General features: G+C 35.6%; 1 protein-coding gene across 17 annotated transcripts in view; it reads left to right on the top strand.

Annotated features, from left to right (window-relative positions):
- Nucleotides 1-21,861, top strand: part of GRID2 (glutamate ionotropic receptor delta type subunit 2) — a 1,506,491-nt gene that overhangs the window by 1,313,663 nt on the left and 170,967 nt on the right. For 15 of the 17 annotated variants that reach the window (NM_001440459.1, XM_024454024.2, NM_001510.4 and 12 more), the window contains one exon: nt 8,641-8,807. In NM_001440459.1, the coding sequence (NP_001427388.1) occupies nt 8,641-8,807 (167 nt within the window). Of the gene's footprint in view, nt 1-8,640; nt 8,808-11,647; nt 11,947-21,861 lie in introns of those variants that run through there. The other 2 variants (XM_017008122.3, XM_017008121.2) reach the window with 1 other exon arrangement.

A 21,861-nucleotide genomic window follows, 5' to 3' on the forward strand; every position in this document is an offset into this window, starting at 1 on the left:
ATTCTCATTTTTATTATCTGAACTCTCAGAAAAAAACCAGTATCGAAAGTTAAATTAACATTATCTTGGTATCGAGATGATACCAAGAAAACCGTTAATCCACAGACAAAGGACTGTTAATACTCATGAATACAATGTGCTTAAGTAACACACTTAAGCCTCAGCACTCACAGCAGTGCAACAAGGGGTGATTCATTATTGTGAACAGCAAATCACAGTTGCCAACATCAGCAGTCAGGAGGAAAAACAGTGACAGCAACTGTGGGAAACATAATCTATGCCATATCCATCTGCTACAAAAACAGTGTTGCTTTCAGCTATTTTTTGAGCCGTGGTATGGGTTTGATACTACCCCCCCTAACCTTCTGTACCCATTGCCAAAAACCTGGATTTGTTGCCTCCCTGAAAGTTTACTCATGACATGGGGCTTTTGTGCTATGACTGGGCATTGGAGGCAAACCTGGGCAATTGTCACCCTAGCTCTTCCTATTAAGCTTACATTTATGAGCATTTCCGTCAATTCATCTATTCAATACTTTGGTTGAGAAACTGGGGCTGGATTATTTGTTGTAGCCTCAAAGATTTTTTTGGTCTCACTTGAATCCAGTTAAGTGCTCTTCTTACTTTTCTGTTAGAATTGTAATCTTCCACACTGCTGTTTCCCTGGAGTGTATTCTACTTGTTCTAATTTATTTTTCCCTTTCCGACTGTGGAACTCACTACATGGATTATTCTTTTTCTTCGTCAGCTCATGAGGATTCAGGTCTAGTTGTTGAAGTAGCCTAGGGACTGGCAGTCTTGCTAATTGTAGAAGGTAAAATATCCTCTCTTCCTGTGGGCCAGAACAAACAAGGTGACTCCATTCCCCTCCTGAGACACACAGAAGCAGCTAAGGGCTCTCCAGTCTTCTGGTCTGACCCAAGGCACAGGACTCCAGGATAGGGAGGTCTCTGTCCATCCATTCAACTCTTTCTGGCCAGTTTAAAGGCAACAGAACATGTATATTAATGGTAACAAATATCTAAGGAAGGAAGTCCGGAGGACTTGGGAGCCACAGATCTCTGTGAACCAAGCTTTCCTCAAACTTAGTTTCTTCCTTGCCTTCCCTGCAGGTTGCACTTGTTTTCGCAGACACACCCAGCCTGAAGGAGAGAATCACCAGTTCTTTTCCCACATGCTCTACCTAGAGCCCCAACCTTTCTAACCTTCTGTCTTCCAGAGCCCAGCAGCCATTTGTTTCAAGAAAAAGTTGGCAGCGGAGGGTAAAGAAGCTACATTCAGTTTTCTATTTTCCTAGAATGCTTTTAAAAACTTTAAAAAATATATTTAGTATTCCTGATAATCTCCAAAAGAACAGGCAAGAAATAAGATTTAGAGGTGGGCATAACACTTCTTTTCTAGGTTAAAAAATTGATTTTTTTAAAAAAGTTGATGTTTATTTTAAATACATTCATATATTCTTTTTGAAAGTTTGTGCCCTATGATAACTATGTCAGAGCACAAATTAAAATTTTGACAAAATAACAGATAAATTATCATAGGCCAACAATTAAGGTAGCAGTAAACAAAACCATATATATTTTAAAGTCAGTCTTAAGTACTTAAACTTGAGTTTGATCATGATTTATTGTGCTGTATAAATTCAGAAGAATTGATGAATGCTGCTAAATTATTAATTTGCCCAAAGTGTGAGAGGCTACCGCCCAGAACCATGTGTTATAAATATTAAAGCCATCCCATCTTTAGGACTTATGTGGGCAATGAATTATAAGGACCACTGTAAATCAATTCTGGGTTAATCATAACTCTTTGCGCCTGTGATTCACAATCACATTATCCCCCACTGACCATTAGTTAAAATTGGAAAGAAGTTTGCAGCTTAGTGGGCAAGGCTAGAATTTATTTCCCTCACATTATTCTCAGGCCTTTTCATTTTTATTTGATGAGGAAAAATAGATTTTCATTATTCAAGCTTTATTTTAATTTTCAAAAGCTCTGCTTTGTTTCATTCCTAAGAATCAGAAATGCTTAGAGAGCAATGGCTACAAAATCAACAGGCCTCGAGGGTCCAGAGTCATATAAACCAAATATTCATTTTTTCCAATGATCTTGAGAAGTAAGCAACCTTTTTCTTAAAAGCCCAATTTTTTTTTACCTTAATACCGTGATCATATAGAACTGAGGAAGCTGCATGCTTTCTGTGGCCCTTGCCGTAAACTACATAGCATTATATTTCTTTACGTAACTGTTGTTTCTCAAACTCCATAGGCTATACCTTACAGGCAAAGGCTATTCTATGTCACATGCTTTTGCATTCCTATGGAGAATCTCCCAGAAATTTATATTTAATGTAGTGCAAAGAGCATAGGAAGATAGCCTTGATCTCACATTCCAAATCTACCGCAAATCATTGGTATGACTTAGAGCAAGTTACAATTACCTCACCTGTGAATTAGATATCCTATCAGCTGTCTCACAGTGTTGTAAAGAACAAATAAATGTGTATGTAAATGGCATTTTTAGCAGTTGAAACATGTTTGGTAAATGTTATCTATTATCATAAGAAATAAATGGAGGACAGAGGGAGGATTTTCTTTAGCAAAGGAAATTCCTATCTAACCCTTTTGGTTTAATGTCACTTTTCCATAATTGTTCCCACTGAATGTTTTTTAATAAGAAAGGATCATCACTTCTGTGTCTCTGAAGCCATAGATTTTGGAGTGAGCTTTTAAGAAATTTACTAAATTAAAGATTCATGTGAGAAAGAGTATTGTCCTCCCGATTCAAATCAAAATTGGTGAGATAACAGGTAGCGATAAGTCTGTTTGTGGCATGGACTTCTGTAGTTAGTACAGGAGGCTGCTACCTAATGAATTAAAAAGCAAAGTGCTTTCAGCATCAGCTCATGATGGAGATGTCAGAACAGGAGCATACAGGACACAAGTAATCTATATACAAATAGAAATGTGTCATAATCCCTAACATGTTGAGGAACATAGGTGCAGGTTTTGAAAATGCACTTTCCCATTCTTCACTTTACTTGGCAAGAAATGCAAATATTCAAGAAAATAACATTGAATATTTACAGTTCTTCACCTGACAAATGGAAAATTTCAAAAAATTTTAGGCTAGAGGAATGTGCATAAACGAGAAATGGTCTCCAAAGCATATCTATGTTTTCAATTGGTTAGGTACTATTGATAAGGAATTTAAATATTTGGGGTTTTCTTATACAGCTATTTCAGTTACCAGAATATTTGAGACTTGTCCTGATTCCTTCCAACAAAAATTAATTTCCCTTTTCTTTTACGACTTTAAACAAAATCTGTTCATATGATCCTTACCATAATGTGATTCGTGTTACAACAATTTTGTACTTGACTTATCTCCACTACTGAGTTGTAAGCAGCTTGATGATGGGGGCCCAAGTCTTACCTTTATATTCCTTATAGACTTAACCTTCAGGATTTTAGAGTTAATGTGTAATGATTGTTAGTAAAATTGAATTTAAACAACAACTGTTAAAGAAAAATATAGAAATGGGAACAAAACCTAGCTCCTAGTGTTATCTGGGAAGTGAGAAATTTATCACGGGGAGTCTATTGATATCTCAGGCACTATTACGAGGACACAGGTGCTGAGCCTCAATAGTTACCAATGTCAATCAATAACCATAGCATCCTAGCATCTCTACTTTGGGGTCTGGAGATTGAAAACACTAGAGGTAGATATCACTTTGGATTATTTTTCTTCCTCATAATGAGACCTGGAATATGCTGACATGAAGCTCCCAGATTCACTTTTGCTTTCTTCTGTTTAACCTAGTATGAAGGACTCTGCTGGTGTGGAATCCATTAGTAAATAAATCAATGGCATGTGATTCAGTTGCCTGTCTAAACATGGCCTCAAGAACAGGGCTAGTTGAAAAATTTTAAGAAAACTCCATTACCTAGTCAGATGGATTGAAAATTTTTAGGCCAGTCCTTCAATTATTATTCTGTTGAAAGGTGACTTCAGACTTTGTTGATGAGTATTTTATAGAGTTTTCATTTGATGGTTAAAGACCATTCAAAAGGCAGTGATTATATGTTTTAATTGATGAAAAAGGCCAGGGCCATTTTTAAAAGCTAAAATAGTTTGGGTTACTATGCAACCTTTCATTGCCATTGCTACAGGCTATAATCACACTGTTTTAATGATTCTCTTTTTAAAAATCCATTCATAATTCTTTGGAACATTAGTATTGCAAGAGACAGCATATATAATGGCAAGGATAATGTTACTATACATTTAAGTAGAGCTCTACAGTTCACAAAGCATTGACAACAATGCTAGAAAACTTTTCTAACAGCAAAGCAATATGTCGCCTACTGGGGAGGTCCCTTGAGGTTTGTAAAGAAGCTGCCAGGGGATCCAGGAGGCCAGACTAACAGTTTAAAACAGAAGATAATCACAAAAATCAAAGTAGGTTGTTAGAGGAAGCTTCAAGGTCACTGCTACTCCCAATCACTGTAAATTTAGACCTAGGGAGCTATAAGCAGGTCTGCAAGTTGGTTGCAAAGATCAGAGAAAAGAAGGAAACTATGGGATAACTCTGTGGGTGAGAAATCAATGCAGACGAAACCTAACCAAGTGTTTTTCCTTCTCTCACACTAACACTCCAAGCATCTCCTAGTTTTATAATTATATCAAGCCCCACGTATATAAAATTGTTTCCGATGATATTACTCATTTTTTTATCATCAGCATCATTAGTAATAAAAAAGTGGTGTGCATAAGCTGTCAGGATTGTTAAAATGCATACTCCCAGGCCTTAAACATCAAACATCATCATGCAGTAACTTTGGGATTAGATCTAGAATCTACATTTCTAACACAAAAATCCCCTAGTAATTCTAATGGTGGTAGTCTTCGCATCACATTGTGAGAAACACTGACCGATAGCACCTAAACTAGGGTCTAGGGTACCACAGACACTCCATGAGTAATACTTGAATTAAATGCTTTCTTTAGGGAAAAAACTTTTGTCTGTTTCAATACCTCATGGTTTGGTTGGGGTTCACCTCAACAAAAGACAGTAAGTATCCACTGAGCACAGTTAACTGGACTGAAGGTTTTAGGCCATTCATTGTTTCATACAAAACTTTTTATTGGGTATCCAATATTGGTGGGATCTAAGCAAATTTATTAAAAGGCAACAATTAAATATTTCTTCTATATTTGCTTCCTTTACCTTTATGTTTTGATATTCCATTCTTTTTTCAGTACCAAAAAAAGTCTCGCATGTTCTTCTAGTTTTTCTTTTCTTAAAACTTGGTCTTTAAAAAATTATATTTAATTTATTCCACTACGGAAATTTATTTTGTGTGATGTGACATAGTGCTCTAATATTGACATTTTTGCAATAATCACCTGTCTCACGTTTTTTGAATATTTCATATTTGCCACACTGATTTGATTTATCGACTTTCTAATACAGTCTTTTTTTTAAAGAGAGGTAAAAGTTTTATGATGGCAGATGATTCTTTTTTTTATTATTATTATACTTTAAGTTCTGGGATACATGTGCAGAACCTGTGCAGGTTTGTTACACAGGTATACACATGCCATGGTGGTTTGCTGCACCAATCAACCTGTCACCTACATTAGGTATTTCTCCTAATGCTATCTCTCCCCTAGCCCCCTGACCCCCCAACAGGCCCTGGTGTGTGATGTTCCCCTTTCTGTGTCCATGTGTTCTCATTGTTCATGTGGTGTTTGGTTTTCTGTTCCTGTGTTAGTTTGCTGAGAATGATGGTTTCCAGCTTCATCCATGTCCCTGCAAAGGACACGAACTGCCAGCAATTCCATTACTGGGTATATACCCAAGGGATTATAAACCATTCTACTGTAAAGACACATGCACCTGTATGTTTATTGCAGCACTATTCACAATAGCAAAGACTTGGAACCAACCCAAATGTCCAACAATGATAGACTGGATAAAGAAAATGTGGCACATATACACTATGGAATACTATGCAGTCTAATACAGTCTTTATATAACATTTATATACTTTTAAAAACAGTAAACTTTTGTTCTGTTCCACTGATTTTCTATTCTTAAATACATTTTGTACTGTTTTATTTTTAAGCTTTATAACATGTCTCATTACTTGGTATTCTAAGTCTCTGATAATTATTAATTTTTTAATTTTCAAAATTTCATTACTATTCTTGTCTGTTTTCTCCTAATTAAATTTGCAAAGGTCTTAAGAGGTTCTAAAATAACCTTCAGGCATTTTATTTAGAATTACATTTTGTATTGGAGAATCTGAGGAAAATTTAAATGTCTTTTGTAATTATGCATCTGCATTCTTAGGAATATGTTATGTCTATACAGAAACTTGTTCAAGTTGTCTTCAGTCAGGTGTTAAGGTATTCTTCATATAGCTCCTACTAATTTATTGTTAAATTTCTCTCTATGTATTTATATTTAATGTACATAGATATTTTTACTCAAACTATCATCTCATTAATATATTAATAGAAAAGCAAATCATTTGTATATATCCATTTATGATCAATCTATTTTTTTAATCTGAATTTTTAAAATACTTTTTCACTTGATTCTGGTGGGCTTCTTGAATATATCATCAAATAATGATAATTTTGTCTCTACTGGATGATAATTTTTTCCTAATAGATTGCAATCATAGTTTTGTTTCCATCCTTTTTTGCATAGGATAAAGTTGTTACAATAATGTTAATTTTGGATTACTAGCAAGCATAATTTTCTTTACTTTAATGGCAATGCAAAGAGAGTTTAAGCTTGTAATAGGCTTGCTGTTGTTTGAAGTATTCTGTATCTCATTACGGATTTTTTTTCTTCCTGGTTTACCAATAGATAGATAACAGGTAGACAACTGTTTATAATTTTGCCAAGTATCTTTCTTGTGTCTATTGAAAGATCATTTAAAAATTTTATAAAGCCTCATTTGTAAGATATGTTGTCACCCCAGTAACATTTCTAATACTGAACCAATGTTGCTTTTCCTTGTTTAATAATGTTACATTATTCTTTTAATATAAGCAAACTAACCTTGGAGTTTAACTATTACTTCTATTTATTTTATGAATTTCTTAAGTCCATTTTTATATGTGAAAAAGTTGAAAATATACCTTATTGAGATGTTTAGGATAGTAGGTTGGGCTTTTATTGGGTAAATTTGTGACTTAGTGTATGAGTGATTACTGAGGGGAAAAAAAATAATCACTAAAGACATTGTAAGTGAACCAGAGTAAAGTTGTGTTCCTTAAGTGATGATAGAGGAGGTTGTGGAATCGTTTTATTTTCCTCATTGCAATGCCCACCAGGGAGTTTTCTTCTAAGTTCAGCTGCAAGATATCCATAGGCCACATGTGACAATAGATTAATTTAGAAGGACACAGGACAGGAGATATAGCTCATCAGCAGGGCAGCATTGTCATTTTTTCTTCAATGTGAGTTGTACTTGCAGCTTTCATTTAGAATAGGGATCACATGCAAGATGATACCTATACTGAGTGAGTACAGAAGCCCACCTGGCTTAGAAGCCTAGTAACCCAAGGCGTCAGTAGCTCTTGTCATAACCCCAAAGGCATAGCTTTCAGGGTCCCCAGAAGGGGCAGTCCCAGTCACATGAATCACTGAACTGGTAGAAGCACAAAGACATGGCTTCCTTTCATGCATTTTTTGTTCTCTCAATCCAAATGACATTTTCCACTCAGGGGTCATTTTACTATAAGCAACGTGGCCTAAAAGTATAGTAAACATTCGACCTTTCCCATGTTTTCAGAACAGAGATATAAATTAACCAAAGTACAAATTCTCATTCAGAATAAAAGCTTACTTAGAAATACAGTCTGCCCTCCATATCTGCAGGTTCTGCATGTGCAGATTCAACCAGCCATGAACTGAAAATATTTTTAAAACACAATAGAGAGTAATAATATAATAAAAATACAAATGAAAAACAATACAGTGGGCCGGGCGCGGTGGCTCACGCCTGTAATCTCAGCACTTTGGGAGGCCGAGGCGGGCGGATTACGAGGTCAGGAGATTGAGACCATCCTGGCTAACACGGTGAAACCCCAGCTCTACTAAAAATACAAAAAATTAGCGGGGCGCGGTGGTGGGCGCCTGTAGTCCCAGCTACTCGGGAGGTTGAGGCAGGAGAATGGCGTGAACCCGGGAGGTGGAGCTTGCAGTGAGCGGAGATCGCGCCACTGCACTCCAGCCTGGGCGACAGAGCAAGACTCCGTCTCAGAAAAAACAAAACAAAACAAAACAAAAATAAAGCGCAACAACTGTTTACATAGCATATGTACATTGTATTAGGTATCATAAGTAATCTAGACATGATTTAAGTATACTGGAGGATGTGTAGAGATTATATGCAAATACTATGACATTTTATATAAGGACTTGAGCATCCCTGGATTTTGGTATCCACAGGGGTTCTGAAATCAATCCCCAACAGATACTGAAGGATGATTATATGTTCTATTATTTTTAGCATAATTAAATATATACCAATGTAATGTTTTTCATCCTGTCTATGTAAATTAAAATTCCAACTTTAAACCCTATTTCTTCTTTTGTTCTTCATTTTTTCACAGGTAAAATATGGAAATTATGCTTTCGTATGGGATGCAGCTGTATTGGAATATGTGGCTATCAATGACCCAGATTGTTCCTTTTACACCATTGGAAATACTGTTGCTGATCGGGGATATGGAATTGCATTACAACATGGCAGTCCTTACCGAGATGTTTTTTCACAAAGGTAAGATTTGTGTATGACCAAATAAGGGGAGAGATGAAATTTAGACAAAGAATATCCATTTGGTTACCAGATCTGGTTTATTACATTTTGTTTCCTTTGTTAGGAGAAGCACAATAAACAACAACAACAAAAAAGATAGTTATAAGTAGTTGTTCAATAAGACACTCATTACCTAAAACATGAAGTATTGTTTTTTCCATAAGTAGCGGGAAAAATAATGCTACATATAACTGGTTTTACTCTCAAAAAATTGACATGGAAAAGAAAGTAGGTGTGTTAGTAATTTCTATTAGAATTAAACTAGTAGTCTAGTCTGAATTTTTAGCAACAAATGTCACAGAGTTAAGAAAATGAATTCATTCTGAGGATACAAAAGCATAACATAAACTTCAGGACCAAGTTAAAGCTCTGATGGACTGAAGCAGATAATGACAGGGATGTTTCCACCTGAATTTTTCAAAGGAAATGGTTAAGATTTTGGAGTTCCCCGCTTAACATCAAAGTATATGTGAGATTTTGTCATGGAAATCAAGGAGATAACTTATTGAGACATTATATCCATTTTCAAATCAGAATTTCTATGATGAAGGAGTTGTTTACAATGGAAGATTTTTAAATATATATTTTAGATTAACAATGCATATGAAAGACTTGGGCCTCAAAGGAGTGCACAAAGATTACTGCATTTCATTATATCTCCTACCAAACAAGCTTGGACCTAAGACAGATTAATATCTTCCACATAGAAGTATATCCATTTTATACTGAAAGTACATTTTGTTTATTTTCTAGATTTTCTTCTACCTATTCTCTAGAATCTAATGACAGTCCAAGAGGACAGTTCCAGATAGTACTAAGGCCCTAAATTTCAAACAACTTGAGTTATATTTCTCCAAATTTTAGGATAACAAAAAATCCAGGCATTTTGTGTGTATGTTTTTTTTTAAAAGAACTAAAAATCAGTAGTTCACAATTTGTGTCATAACTCTTCCATTAGCAAACCATAAAAATCTAAACCTCTCTCATGACATGCAAAATGAAGTTAGATTAATTCTAAGGTCCTGTACTAGTCAGCTTTTCTGTGTAGCAAACAACTCTAAAGTATAAGTGATTTAGAAAAGTTACTTCTCATTCATGAAACAAGGCTGTAATTTGGTTGTGTTATGCTTCAAGCTGTGGGTCAACTGCAGTCCTACTCTGTGCAAGCTTCTCATTCCAAGGCCCAGGCTGAAGAAGCCGACCTAACAGGGACATGCTGTTCTCATTGCAAAGAGCATTTGTAAAAGAGGCTGGCAGAAACCTGCAGTGCCTCCTGTGTTTCTTGCTTGGATGTGGCATATGTTCCATCTGCCCACAGATCACAAACCAAAGCAAGTCTCATGGCCAAGCCCAAAATCAATAGAGTGGGTAAATGTACCCCACATATAGGGAAGGAAGGAGTAAAGGATTATGAATAGGCTGGACGCAGTGGTTCACACGTGTAACCTCAGCACTTTGGGAGGCCAAGGCAGGTGGATCACTTGAGGCCAGGAGTTTGAGACCAGCCTGGCCAACATGGAGAAACCCCATCTCTACTAAAAATACAAAAATTATCCAGGTGTGGTGGTGCATGCCTGTAATCTCAGCTACTTGGGAGGCTGAGGCATGAGAATCGCTTGAGCTTGGGAGGTGGAGGTTATAGTGAGCCAAAAGTGAAATACATATGCATTAACTGGGAAGCAAAATACTAAATAATAATCAATCAAAATACATTTATTGACGAGCAAATTCTAAGAGGAACAAACTACAAAAATCAATTATGCCATAGGGAATCCGTCTGTAAAGCACTTGGCATCTAGTTGGAGATATAAGACCCATGCACAAGAAACAAAGAACAATATAGACATTTCTATAAATGTGTGTTGATATATATGTATATAATATCAGTATTATTTATTTATATTATTTTAAATTGTGTAGTTAAGGTACTGAAATAATTGAACAGCATACAGAGTAGTTAAGCAAAGGAAAATGAGTGAAAGCTCTCCAGAGAAGGTAAGCCTGGAACTTGACCTTGATGGGGCAAGGGGAAATACGGAGAAGGAACAAATAGAAGAGACCCTTCTAAGGGAAGAAACACACCACTGCTTTTAATTTAGTTGTGAGGATGGAAAAGCATAATAGAATGAAAAGGGATCCAGGGTTTCATGGTAAAAGACCAGCAGAAATGTTTAATGCATGCTTAACATTACAGAGCTAGTTGAGAAAAGGATTATTGATTATTGATTAGTTATGGTTAATTGGCTTTTTCATTGCTAAAGATGTTCTTGCTTTTCAGACTTGATTTTCTGGCTTTTTTTTTTTTTTTGAGACATTGTTTCGCTCTTGTCACCCAGGCTGCAGTGCAGTGGTGCGATCTCGGCTCACTGCAACCTCCCCATCCCGGGTTCAAGTGATTCTCCTGCCTCAGCCTCCCAAGTAGCTGGGATTACACATGCACGCCACCATACCCAGCTAATTTTTTGTATTTTTAGTAGAAATGGGGTTTTGCCATATTGGGCAGGCTGGTCTTGAACTCCTGATATCAGGTGATCCTCCCGCCTCAGCCTCCCAAAGTGTTGGGATTACAGGCATGAGCCACCGCGCCCAGCGATTTTCTGGATTTTTTATGTAAAAAATAATGCATGAACGTAATAGTAATTAAAGAAATGTTTAATAAATCACACCAAGTGTTGCATTTCTTATTAGCCCTGCAGTGCTTTACCTATCAGAGATTTTAATTCTCAGAAAATGTACTCTAGTGAACTGCTAAAAAGTATTATTAAGCATTAAGCATTATTTTTCCTTTGTTTGATATGCAGTACAGATGTTGGCAGTTTAAATTGTTTCTTTCTGTGGAGTTTCTTGGTAACGACACCCTGCATCCTGATTCCCTGGACATATGGAGAAAAGGAGAGCCAGGAAAGAAGCAGGACCTGGCGATCATCAGTGTGCCAGCTCCTCTCTTTATACACATGTGCCACATTAATTTATCACCCAAAACCTCTCGCTAAATTCAGAAAATATTTGCATTTGTTCCATTTTTTTATAGCCATAAGGAAAAAGAGATCTTCCCTTTCTGTTAACTGATTTTAAAAATTATAAAGATCATCAAATTTAACCATTTTAGTACACTGTGGTCAGTATGTTTTATACATCAGCATCCGGGGCCATTGATATTACATATTACTATTGTGATTATTTTCACTGAAAATATAGTATACTAGGTGATTTTTAATAATTCAATATTACTTTTCAGGTGACTATATTTCTATAACACAACTTCTAAAATATTAAGTTACTTTAATATGTAATAAATATTAGTATGTAAAATAAAAAATATATAGTGATACAGTAACTACATTTATTATCTGCTACCTGCCAGACGTCTTATATGTTTATATATTTCATAGGCACTTTAGAACAATCATATGAGGCATTGCACATTTGTTCATTATAGCATTGCTTATTAGTGCATGACTGCTATGCTACAAGTACATACACTGAGTGGATGAGTCTGCACCTGGACAAGCATCAAATTCAGGTTCGGAGACATGGGTTATATCAATACACTCACATGTATGATTGTATGTGAGCGAACACACATTGGAATGACTTCAAGGAACCAGTAAGTGCTAGAATTTATATAACCATAGAAATGGCTAGAAGAGTTTTGCTTCCTTTTGTGTCCTTTCTGCACATAAACTAGATAACTTGGCAGCAGAAGTTAAAGTCAGTCTTTTTTTTTGGTCATCAGATGTGTGCGTGAGTGTGGTAAGTAAGGCTTGCAGTGAATTCTCTACCTGACACGATTTGTCATCAGATGTTTTATGTGGTTCTCATCTTGTAACTTCTTAGTTTAAAAACATTTAGTCATATGTTGCCTCATTAAAGGCATTCAAGAATGAAGAAAACTGAATTTTTCGGGTTGACTTCATTGTGCAATAAATAAAGTTAACTCCAGTGTTGACTTCAGAATCTTAACAATGCAGAAAGCTAAAAAGATAACCAAAAAGTATGAGCTCAAGTCTATTCTCAAATCTTAAGTGGATATTGGGAAAAATTCATTAGTTTAATTTTATAGTTCATCCATAAAGAGGTCACATTTTGCTTATTGGCTTCTAGACCCTAAACTTGGGATATAGAACTACCCAAAGTCACAAAAACAATTACGTGTTCCAAGTTGCATGGAGAATAATTTTTCTTAGATTCATGATAGTGACACATATATAAACAGTTGTTCAAACTAATCGCAGAATTTGAGAATTTTTAGAAATGGAACTAACAGTAGCTATGCCCTTTCTGACAGGGATGAAAGTAGTCCACAGGAATAAACAACTTGCTTAGAATCACAAAAAAAAGCAATAAAATTGGAAAAAATTCAAAATTTCTGATTTCATATCCAGTTTTCTGGTCACTGTACATTCTGTCTTCCCTTATATTTCTTCTAAAAGCATATAAGAATAATGTCAAGCTTATATTCTTATATTGTCCTTACTATATGCTAGACTCTCAGCTACTACACATAATAACCCGTGAGGTAAATACTGTTGCTGTCCTAATTGTACAGATACAGAAACTGAGACATCATGAAGTAAAGTAACTTGTGCAAGTTCAGGAAGCTGTCGATTATTAGAGCTGAGACTCAAACCCAGAGTCTGGCTCCAAAAACTGGGTCTCTTAACCATTCTGCTATACTGCGTTTCACAAAAATGACACACACTTTTAACAAGTGTGTTTCAAATAAACACTTAGGGATTCTCTTTTTTTTTTATTATTATACTTTAAGTTCTAGGGTACATGTGCACAACGTGCAGGTTTGTTACATATGTATACATGTGCCATGTTGGTGTGCTGCACCCATTAACTCATCATTTATATTAGGTATATCTCCTAATGCTATCCCTCCCCACTCCCCGACCCTAGGACAGGACCTGGTGTGTGATGCTCCCCTTCCCGTGTCCAAGTGTTCTCATTGTTCAATTCCCACCTATGAGTGAGAACATGCGGTGTTTGGTTTTTTGTCTTTGCAATAGTTTGCTGAGAATGATGGTTTCCACCTTCATCTATGTCCCTACAAAGGACATGAACTCATCCTTTTTTATGGCTGCATAGTATTCCATGGTGTGTATGTGCCACATTTCCTTAATCCAGTCTATCATTGTTGGACATTTGGCTTGGTTCCAAGTCTTTGCTATTGTGAATAGTGCCACAATAAATATACGTGTGCATGTGTCTTTATAGCAGCATGATTTACAATCCTTTGGGTATATACCCAGTAATGGGATTGCTGGGTCAAATGGTATTTCTAGTTCTAGATCCCTGAGGAATCGCCACACTGTCTTCCACAATGATTGTACTAGTTTACAGTCCCACCAACAGTGTAAAAGTGTTCCTATTTCTCCACATCCTCTCCAGTACCTGTTGTTTCCTGACTTTTTAATGATGGCCATTCTAACTGCTGTGAGATGGTATCTCGTTGTAGTTTTGATTTGCATTTCTCTGATGGCCAGTGATGATGAGCATTTTTTCATGTCCCTTTTGGCTGCATAAAAGTCTTCTTTTGAGAAGTGTCTGTTCATATCCTTCACCCACTTTTTGATGAGGTTGTTTGTTTTTTCCTTGTAAGTTTGTTTGAGTTCTTTGTAGATTCTGGATATTAGCCCTTTGTCAGACGAGTAGATTGCAAAAATTTTCTCCCATTTTGTAGGTTGCCTGTTCACTCTGATGGTAGTTTCTTTTGCTGTGCAGAAGCTCTTTAGTTTAATGAGATCCCATTTGTCAGTTTTGGCTTTTGTTGCCATTGCTTTTGGTGTTTTAGATATGAAGTCCTTGCCCAGGCCTACGTCCTGAATGGTATTGCCTAGGTTTTCTTCTAGGGTTTTTATGGTTTTAGGTCTAACATTGAAGTCTTTGATCCATCTTGAATGAATTTTTGTATAAGGTGTAAGGAAGGGATCCAGTTTCAGCTTTTTCCATATGGCTAACCAGTTTTCCCAGCACCATTTATTAAATAGGGAATCCTTTCCCCATTTCTTGTTTTTGTCAGGTTTGTCAAAGATCAGCTGGTTGTAGATGTGTGGTATTATTTCTGAGCGCTCTGTTCTGTTCCATTGGTCTATATCTCTGTTTTGGTACCAGTACCATGCTGTTTTGGTTACTGTAGACTTGTAGTATAGTTTGAAGTCAGGTAGCGTGATGCCTCCAGCTTTGTTCTTTTTGCTTAATATTGTCTTGGCAATGCGGGCTCTTTTTTGGTTCCATATGAACTTTCAAGTCGTTTTTTCCAATTCTGTGAAGAAAGTCATTGGTAGCTTGATGCGGATGGCATTGAATGTATAAATTACCTTGGGCAGTATGGCCATTTTCACGATGTTGATTCTTCCTACCCATGAGCATGGAATGTTCTTCCATTTGTTTGTGTCCTCTTTTATTTTGTTGAGCAGTAGTTTGTAGTTCTCCTTGAAGAGGTCCTTCACATCCCTTGTAAGTTGGATTCCTAGGTATTTTATTCTCTTTGAAGCAATTGTGAATGGGAGTTCACTCATGATTTGGCTCTCTGTTTGTCTTTTACTGGTGTATAAGATCTCTTTCTATCTCTCTCTCTCTACACATGCATGCATGCACACACATAGACACACAAAGAGTAGAACAAATCACAATCCTTGGTACTTCACAATACTCTCATAATGGGTCCATAAATAGCTACTTTTATTCATTTATTTGATTAGTTTTATACTCCTTAGTTGTAGTCTTTTTTCCTATAAACTATTAGAATATTTAATTTAATATTATAACTATAAGAATTTTTTTCCTATTAAGTATTAGAATATTTAGTGCTTTACTTTGTATTTTTACAAGTAAAAATACAAATTATTCAAAAAATTATTCAAAAAGAGAACATTAGATCTTTTTACCTCTCTCTATCTTGATACTTCTTACACTTTACCTCTTGTTTCCTACCTCCTGTTGGAAAGCTCCTGAGCTCCTTGAGTTCACACGTGTGTTTGTACATCTCTAGTGCCCACTTTCTTGTTTAGCATGCAGTAAGCATTCAATAATTATTTCATACATGAATAAAAGATCTACTTAACTTTTTGGCTAAAGATCAGCCCATTTACTTACAGCCAGATAAACCTCTGTGCATTTTGCTTGCTTGATAATTTCTAAAGTCTTCCTTCTTATCATAATTATTTTTTCTTTCTTGGTTTCTATAATTTTTCATCCAACCAATAAAAAAGCTAAGAAAAAAAATCTAAGAAGAAAAAGAAAACAAACACAGCACCTGCCTACCCTTCTTTCCAACTCCCTGCTGTAATAATTTTTATGCTTTTTCCCACAAGGAAAGTAAAAAACATTCCTTTAACTTGACAGCATAATCCTAATCCTTTAATACCCCAATTGGAATGGGGTGCTTTCCAAGCATTCTGTTCACCATTCAGCAAGGGGAAAAAAGCAGCCCCCATTGATTGCCCACTTAGTAGCTCCAGGATTGGTCAACAAATGGCTTAAGCTCTGTATTCAGCTGGTTAAAAGAATCTCTCAGAAAGGTACATAAAACCAGAAGTTAAACAGTTAACTGGCTTCCCTTTAGAGATGCAAAATATAAACTAGCCCCAAGCTCTGAGAGCAGAAGTGACATTATTGAGACACATTTGTAAACATTAAGCAATATCAAAGTATACATTAAACTATATAGTATAGACAATACTTGCAGGAAAAATTTTAAGGAAAACAAAATCAGTGAAGGTTAGAATAAAAATGGTTACTAGACTTGAGCAGGGAGAATTCAAAAATAAATCGAATTTGGATATGAGAGCAGGTGCAGGTAAAATACTCAGGAAAACATGAGAGATTCACATAAATAAAAACGGCCATCATGTGTTGAAAGGATGATGAGAAGGAACAACTTCACTGGAAATAATATTAGTTGAGGGATTTAGGTAGAGAAACTAAAATTGAATGTGATAGACTATCAACAGCTGCTAGTTATAAAGCATCTACTACACTAAACACTTGATATGTTTCATATAATGCTTGCCACAACTCTGTGCATTGCATTTCATAAATTTGAGGAAACTGAGCCTCAGACTTAAATATCTTGCCAAATTCACACAACTAATAACAAACAGATCTAGGCCTCAGGTTGAAGCTCGTGTCCTTATGCAGCACCGTTCACCAGCTTTGTGGGGCTCTGAGAAGAGAAATATCTGTACAGACGAGGATTTGAGGAGTCTGAGGTGTTAGGTTAGCTTTTAATTGAAGAAGGCCATTTGCAAGTATTCTAGCTGGGAAGCAGTAAGAATACTACAAAAGAATTAGGAAAAGGGATTAGAAAAAAAGATAAGTTTGGAGAAAGGATAGGGAGAACTTGGTGAAAAATCAAAGAAGTGCATAAAATCCAGGACCCTGAACAAGAAAGGCTATGCAGATTTAAATGGCAACAAACAGCCCCCTCTTTTCTCCTACTTCTTCCAGCTGTCTTACTTCTCCTTTTCTTGGTCATCTATTACAAGTTTGCATCAGCTGTATTTCATCATTTTTAGAAAGGCAGTGATTATTTATTTTAATTATGATCATTTACTACCCGGTAAATAAATAATTATTTCTAAGAACCATACAACCTACAGATTTCTATTCTGTTGTTGCTCACATCACAGTAACATATTCCTATTGGTATTGTTCTTCTCTCTCACAATACATCAGACTTTTTTTTAATTTATATATATGTTTTATTTAATTTTATGTGTGTATATATATACCACTAACATCAGCTGGTTTCATTGTATCCACATTTTCTGTTCCAGATCAAGAAAACAAGATAATTAAGATGGGCAGATAATTAAGAAAGGAGAACATTTGAAGAGTCTCAAAATAAAAGCAAGAAAGAGGACACTGAAGGTTCACTCTCAAAGGGAGACAGGAGTAGGATGCTATAATAATATATATATTATATATATTTATACATATATTTTTGCTTTAAAAGAATAACATTTTATGCTATAAGATGTGAAAGGAAATTGTTTTCTTTTCTCATATAATACACATCTATTTAGATAAGGACTAGCCTCTGGAATCCATACAAAGGAATATGCTATTCCTATTTCAGAGCAACCTCCTCTTTAAAACATCTGTTTTGAATTGAGGATTTTTAACTTAAAGAACTTCAATAAACAAGAAAAATGAGTAAGCTTTTGTCTATCATTCTTTTTCTGTTTCCTGAATCCTTGTGGAGCTACTTTTATGACGGATATCCTATGAGTTTTAGCAAGCACCCTGACTGCTACTTCTAGTGGAGAATCCAAATAATTTACATTTATTTTAGAGTTTAGTCTAAATAGATGACAGAATAAGTATAGTTAGTGATATTTCCAGTATGTGAATTTTTCAAAAATATTTATGGGCTCCATATGATTTGAGATTAGTTTTATTAGTCTTGCCAAACTGTAGCCAAATTTTAAACAATTATAAACCTTTACTCTCAAGAAGCATATAGCATTCTCACTGCTAAGCACAAACCTAGACATCAAACAGCAACCCCATGGGGTAGATTTTTAAGTGATACAAATTTCCATTCTTCTTGCACTACATCATACAGCATTCAGGGAACACTATATTCAAGATGCAACAGTACCCTTAATGAACAAGCATCTTTATTAGATTTTTCTGAGATAAGTCCTGAGCTACAGGGAAGATAAATGACTAGTGCAAGGTGCAAGGCAGTATTTCAGCTGGATAATAAGCCCATGATGCTGGACCAAGCTGCTTTTCAAGCAGCAAGTCTGATTAGCCTTTTTACAAATAAGATTTGTGCTGTTTCTAGATCTCAGTAAATATTGTTTATTCAGAAACCCATTGGTTTACAAAAAGCATAGTTATTTTACTGATATAATCTAGGTGTTACTAAAGGCTTTTTAACAAAATATTCCAGAACTTAAAACCACAAATTTACACTGCACTTGAAAATACACACACACACATGCGCACACATACACACGCACACACACATACTCTCCAGAGTAATTATAAGACTCTCTCCAAAACTCTTTTATTCCCTTATAGTTAAATCACATTTTTAACACTCAAAACACTCATTCTACTCAACAAACATAACGTCAAGACACTTTTTACTGTTTGAAAAATTCAGTCTACTTTTAAAAGGAAAATTTGATGTCATCAAAAATAATCAAAGAACATGCTACTTTTTCATAGGTCCTTAAAATATTGTAAACATAGTGACATCATGGGAATAAACGTGTGGGCTTACATAATAATTATGTCTATAGAGGAAACAATCATAGATTTTGAGCACTGAGTGAGCCTTTGGCATGCATTTAGATAACTCTCTAATTTTTCAAATGTGAAACCAAGAAGGGAAGTGGGGTGCCCTGCCCAGAGTATAACCCTTGGTTAAAACCATGCCCTGGAGACCACTAGTCCAGGCTCCCAGTCCAGTGTCCCATCCCCTGCCCTGTTCTGCCAGTTCCTTTTGTTTAAAAAAGTCAGTTTTTATCCCTAAAATTTACCAGTAAAATATATGTTTTCACAAACATAGTCATGTCAATATATTACATAAAAGAGCAGGAATATTCATTAGGAAATACTTTCAACAGGGTCACAAACATAACTAGAACATCTGTTTAAAAATTGTCATTACTTCATAGACACAAGAAAATGTAGCACAAAGATGAATAGAGTGCTTTGGAATGTGTTCTCTAACTTATAAAGAAACTATGCTGTAGACTAAAATAGTAGTCGACATTCATTGAAAACTCACCAGGTGCCAAGTATCACTATAAAGGCCCTAACTATGTTAAATAATTTAATTCTCACAATAAGCTTGTGAGGTAAATATTATTAGTAGCTTTATTTTATAGAAGAGGAAACTAAATCACAGAAATGATTTGAAATTTTCCAAAATCCTAAAACTGATAAGTGACAAAGCCAGGCTTTGAACCCATGCTGTCAAAGACAATACTATCCTGGCTCATATTCCCACAAGTCTAAGAACATGCACCAGTGCTGGAAAAGGATAATAAGGATCTAAATTGTCTTCATGACTGCCGACATGGCTGTCTTCCTTCATATTAAAATGCTGTTGGGCATTTTAGTTTAAATGAAATGCAGAATATTTTCAGAAACTTAAATGGTATGCCAATAACAAAGGGTCCTCCATTACAGGGAGGGAGAGATCCATCTGAAATTGAAACTGTCTTGCATCAGCTGACCAGAAGTAAATATATTGAAAATTGAAAGCTATGGGACGATACTGAAATATTTTCCCTTCCTCTCATCTTCTTTTGCTACAAGTTAGTTTAAGACTCTACTTAATCAAAACTTTAATTCTTCCTTCATGGAAGTTTTAATTCATCATTACATTTTAATTGGTGGAATTCGTAATTGCCTCTTATCTATCCCATTTCATAGTTCTTTGAGCAGCTCAAATAAACTAACATCATAATTGGTCAGACAGTCTACTCACATGTTAAACGTTTACTAATATGAAACAGAATCTGATACTTCTAGACATGAATTATTACTAAGATAAAAATATAAGAATTTTTATATGGAATAAGAGTCATTATTCTATATAGCCCAGGTAAGTCTAACATAAGCTCTAACGATTTCTGTCTTTGTGAACGTAGTTCTCTGTTTTAATACCAATTTCAAATAGAGAAATATGTACCTCAATGTGTTCATTTACTTTTTTCATAATAATCCATTCTGCTTCTGTCATTTTATAAAGCTCTTTATTTTTTAAATGTTAGTAACTAATGAAAATGATCAAAATCAACATGTTTTTATTTTGTATGTTGCTGCCTAAGAAAACATATTTAAAACTTGCATCTTTTTTTTTTTTTTTTTTAATTATACTCTAAGTTTTAGGGTACATGTGCACATTGTGCAGGTTAGTTACATATGTATACATGTGCCATGCTGGTGCGCTGCACCCACTAATGTGTCATCTAGCATTAGGTATATCTCCCAATGCTATCCCACCCCCCTCCCCCGACCCCACCACAGTCCCCAGAGTGTGATATTCCCCTTCCTGTGTCCATGTGATCTCATTGTTCAATTCCCACCTATGAGTGAGAATATGCGGTGTTTGGTTTTTTGTTCTTGCGATAGTTTACTGAGAATGATGGTTTCCAATTTCATCCATGTCCCTACAAAGGATATGAACTCATCATTTTTTATGGCTGCATAGTATTCCATGGTGTATATGTGCCACATTTTCTTAATCCAGTCTATCATTGTTGGACATTTGGGTTGGTTCCAAGTCTTTGCTATTGTGAATAGTGCCGCAATAAACATACGTGTGCATGTGTCTTTATAGCAGCATGATTTATACTCATTTGGGTATATATCCAGTAATGGGATGGCTGGGTCAAATGGTATTTCTAGTTCTAGATCCCTGAGGAATCGCCACACTGACTTCCACAATGGTTGAACTAGTTTACAGTCCCACCAACAGTGTAAAAGTGTTCCTATTTCTCCGCATCCTCTCCAGCACCTGTTGTTTCCTGACTTTTTAATGATTGCCATTCTAACTGGTGTGAGATGATATCTCATAGTGGTTTTGATTTGCATTTCTCTGATGGCCAGTGATGATGAGCATTTCTTCATGTGTTTTTTGGCTGCATAAATGTCTTCTTTTGAGAAGTGTCTGTTCATGTCCTTCGCCCACTTTTTGATGGGGTTGTTTGTTTTTTTCTTGTAAATTTGTTTGAGTTCATTGTAGATTCTGGATATTAGCCCTTTGTCAGATGAGTAGGTTGCGAAAATTTTCTCCCATGTTGTAGGTTGCCTGTTCACTCTGATGGTAGTTTCTTTTGCTGTGCAGAAGCTCTTTAGTTTAATTAGATCCCATTTGTCAATTTTGGCTTTTGTTGCCATTGCTTTTGGTGTTTTGGACATGAAGTCCTTGCCCATGCCTATGTCCTGAATGGTAATGCCTAGGTTTTCTTCTAGGGTTTTTATGGTTTTAGGTTTAACGTTTAAATCTTTAATCCATCTTGAATTGATTTTTGTATAA

Source organism: Homo sapiens, chromosome 4 (assembly GCF_000001405.40).
Source record: "Homo sapiens chromosome 4, GRCh38.p14 Primary Assembly".
Lineage (NCBI taxonomy): Eukaryota > Metazoa > Chordata > Mammalia > Primates > Hominidae > Homo > Homo sapiens.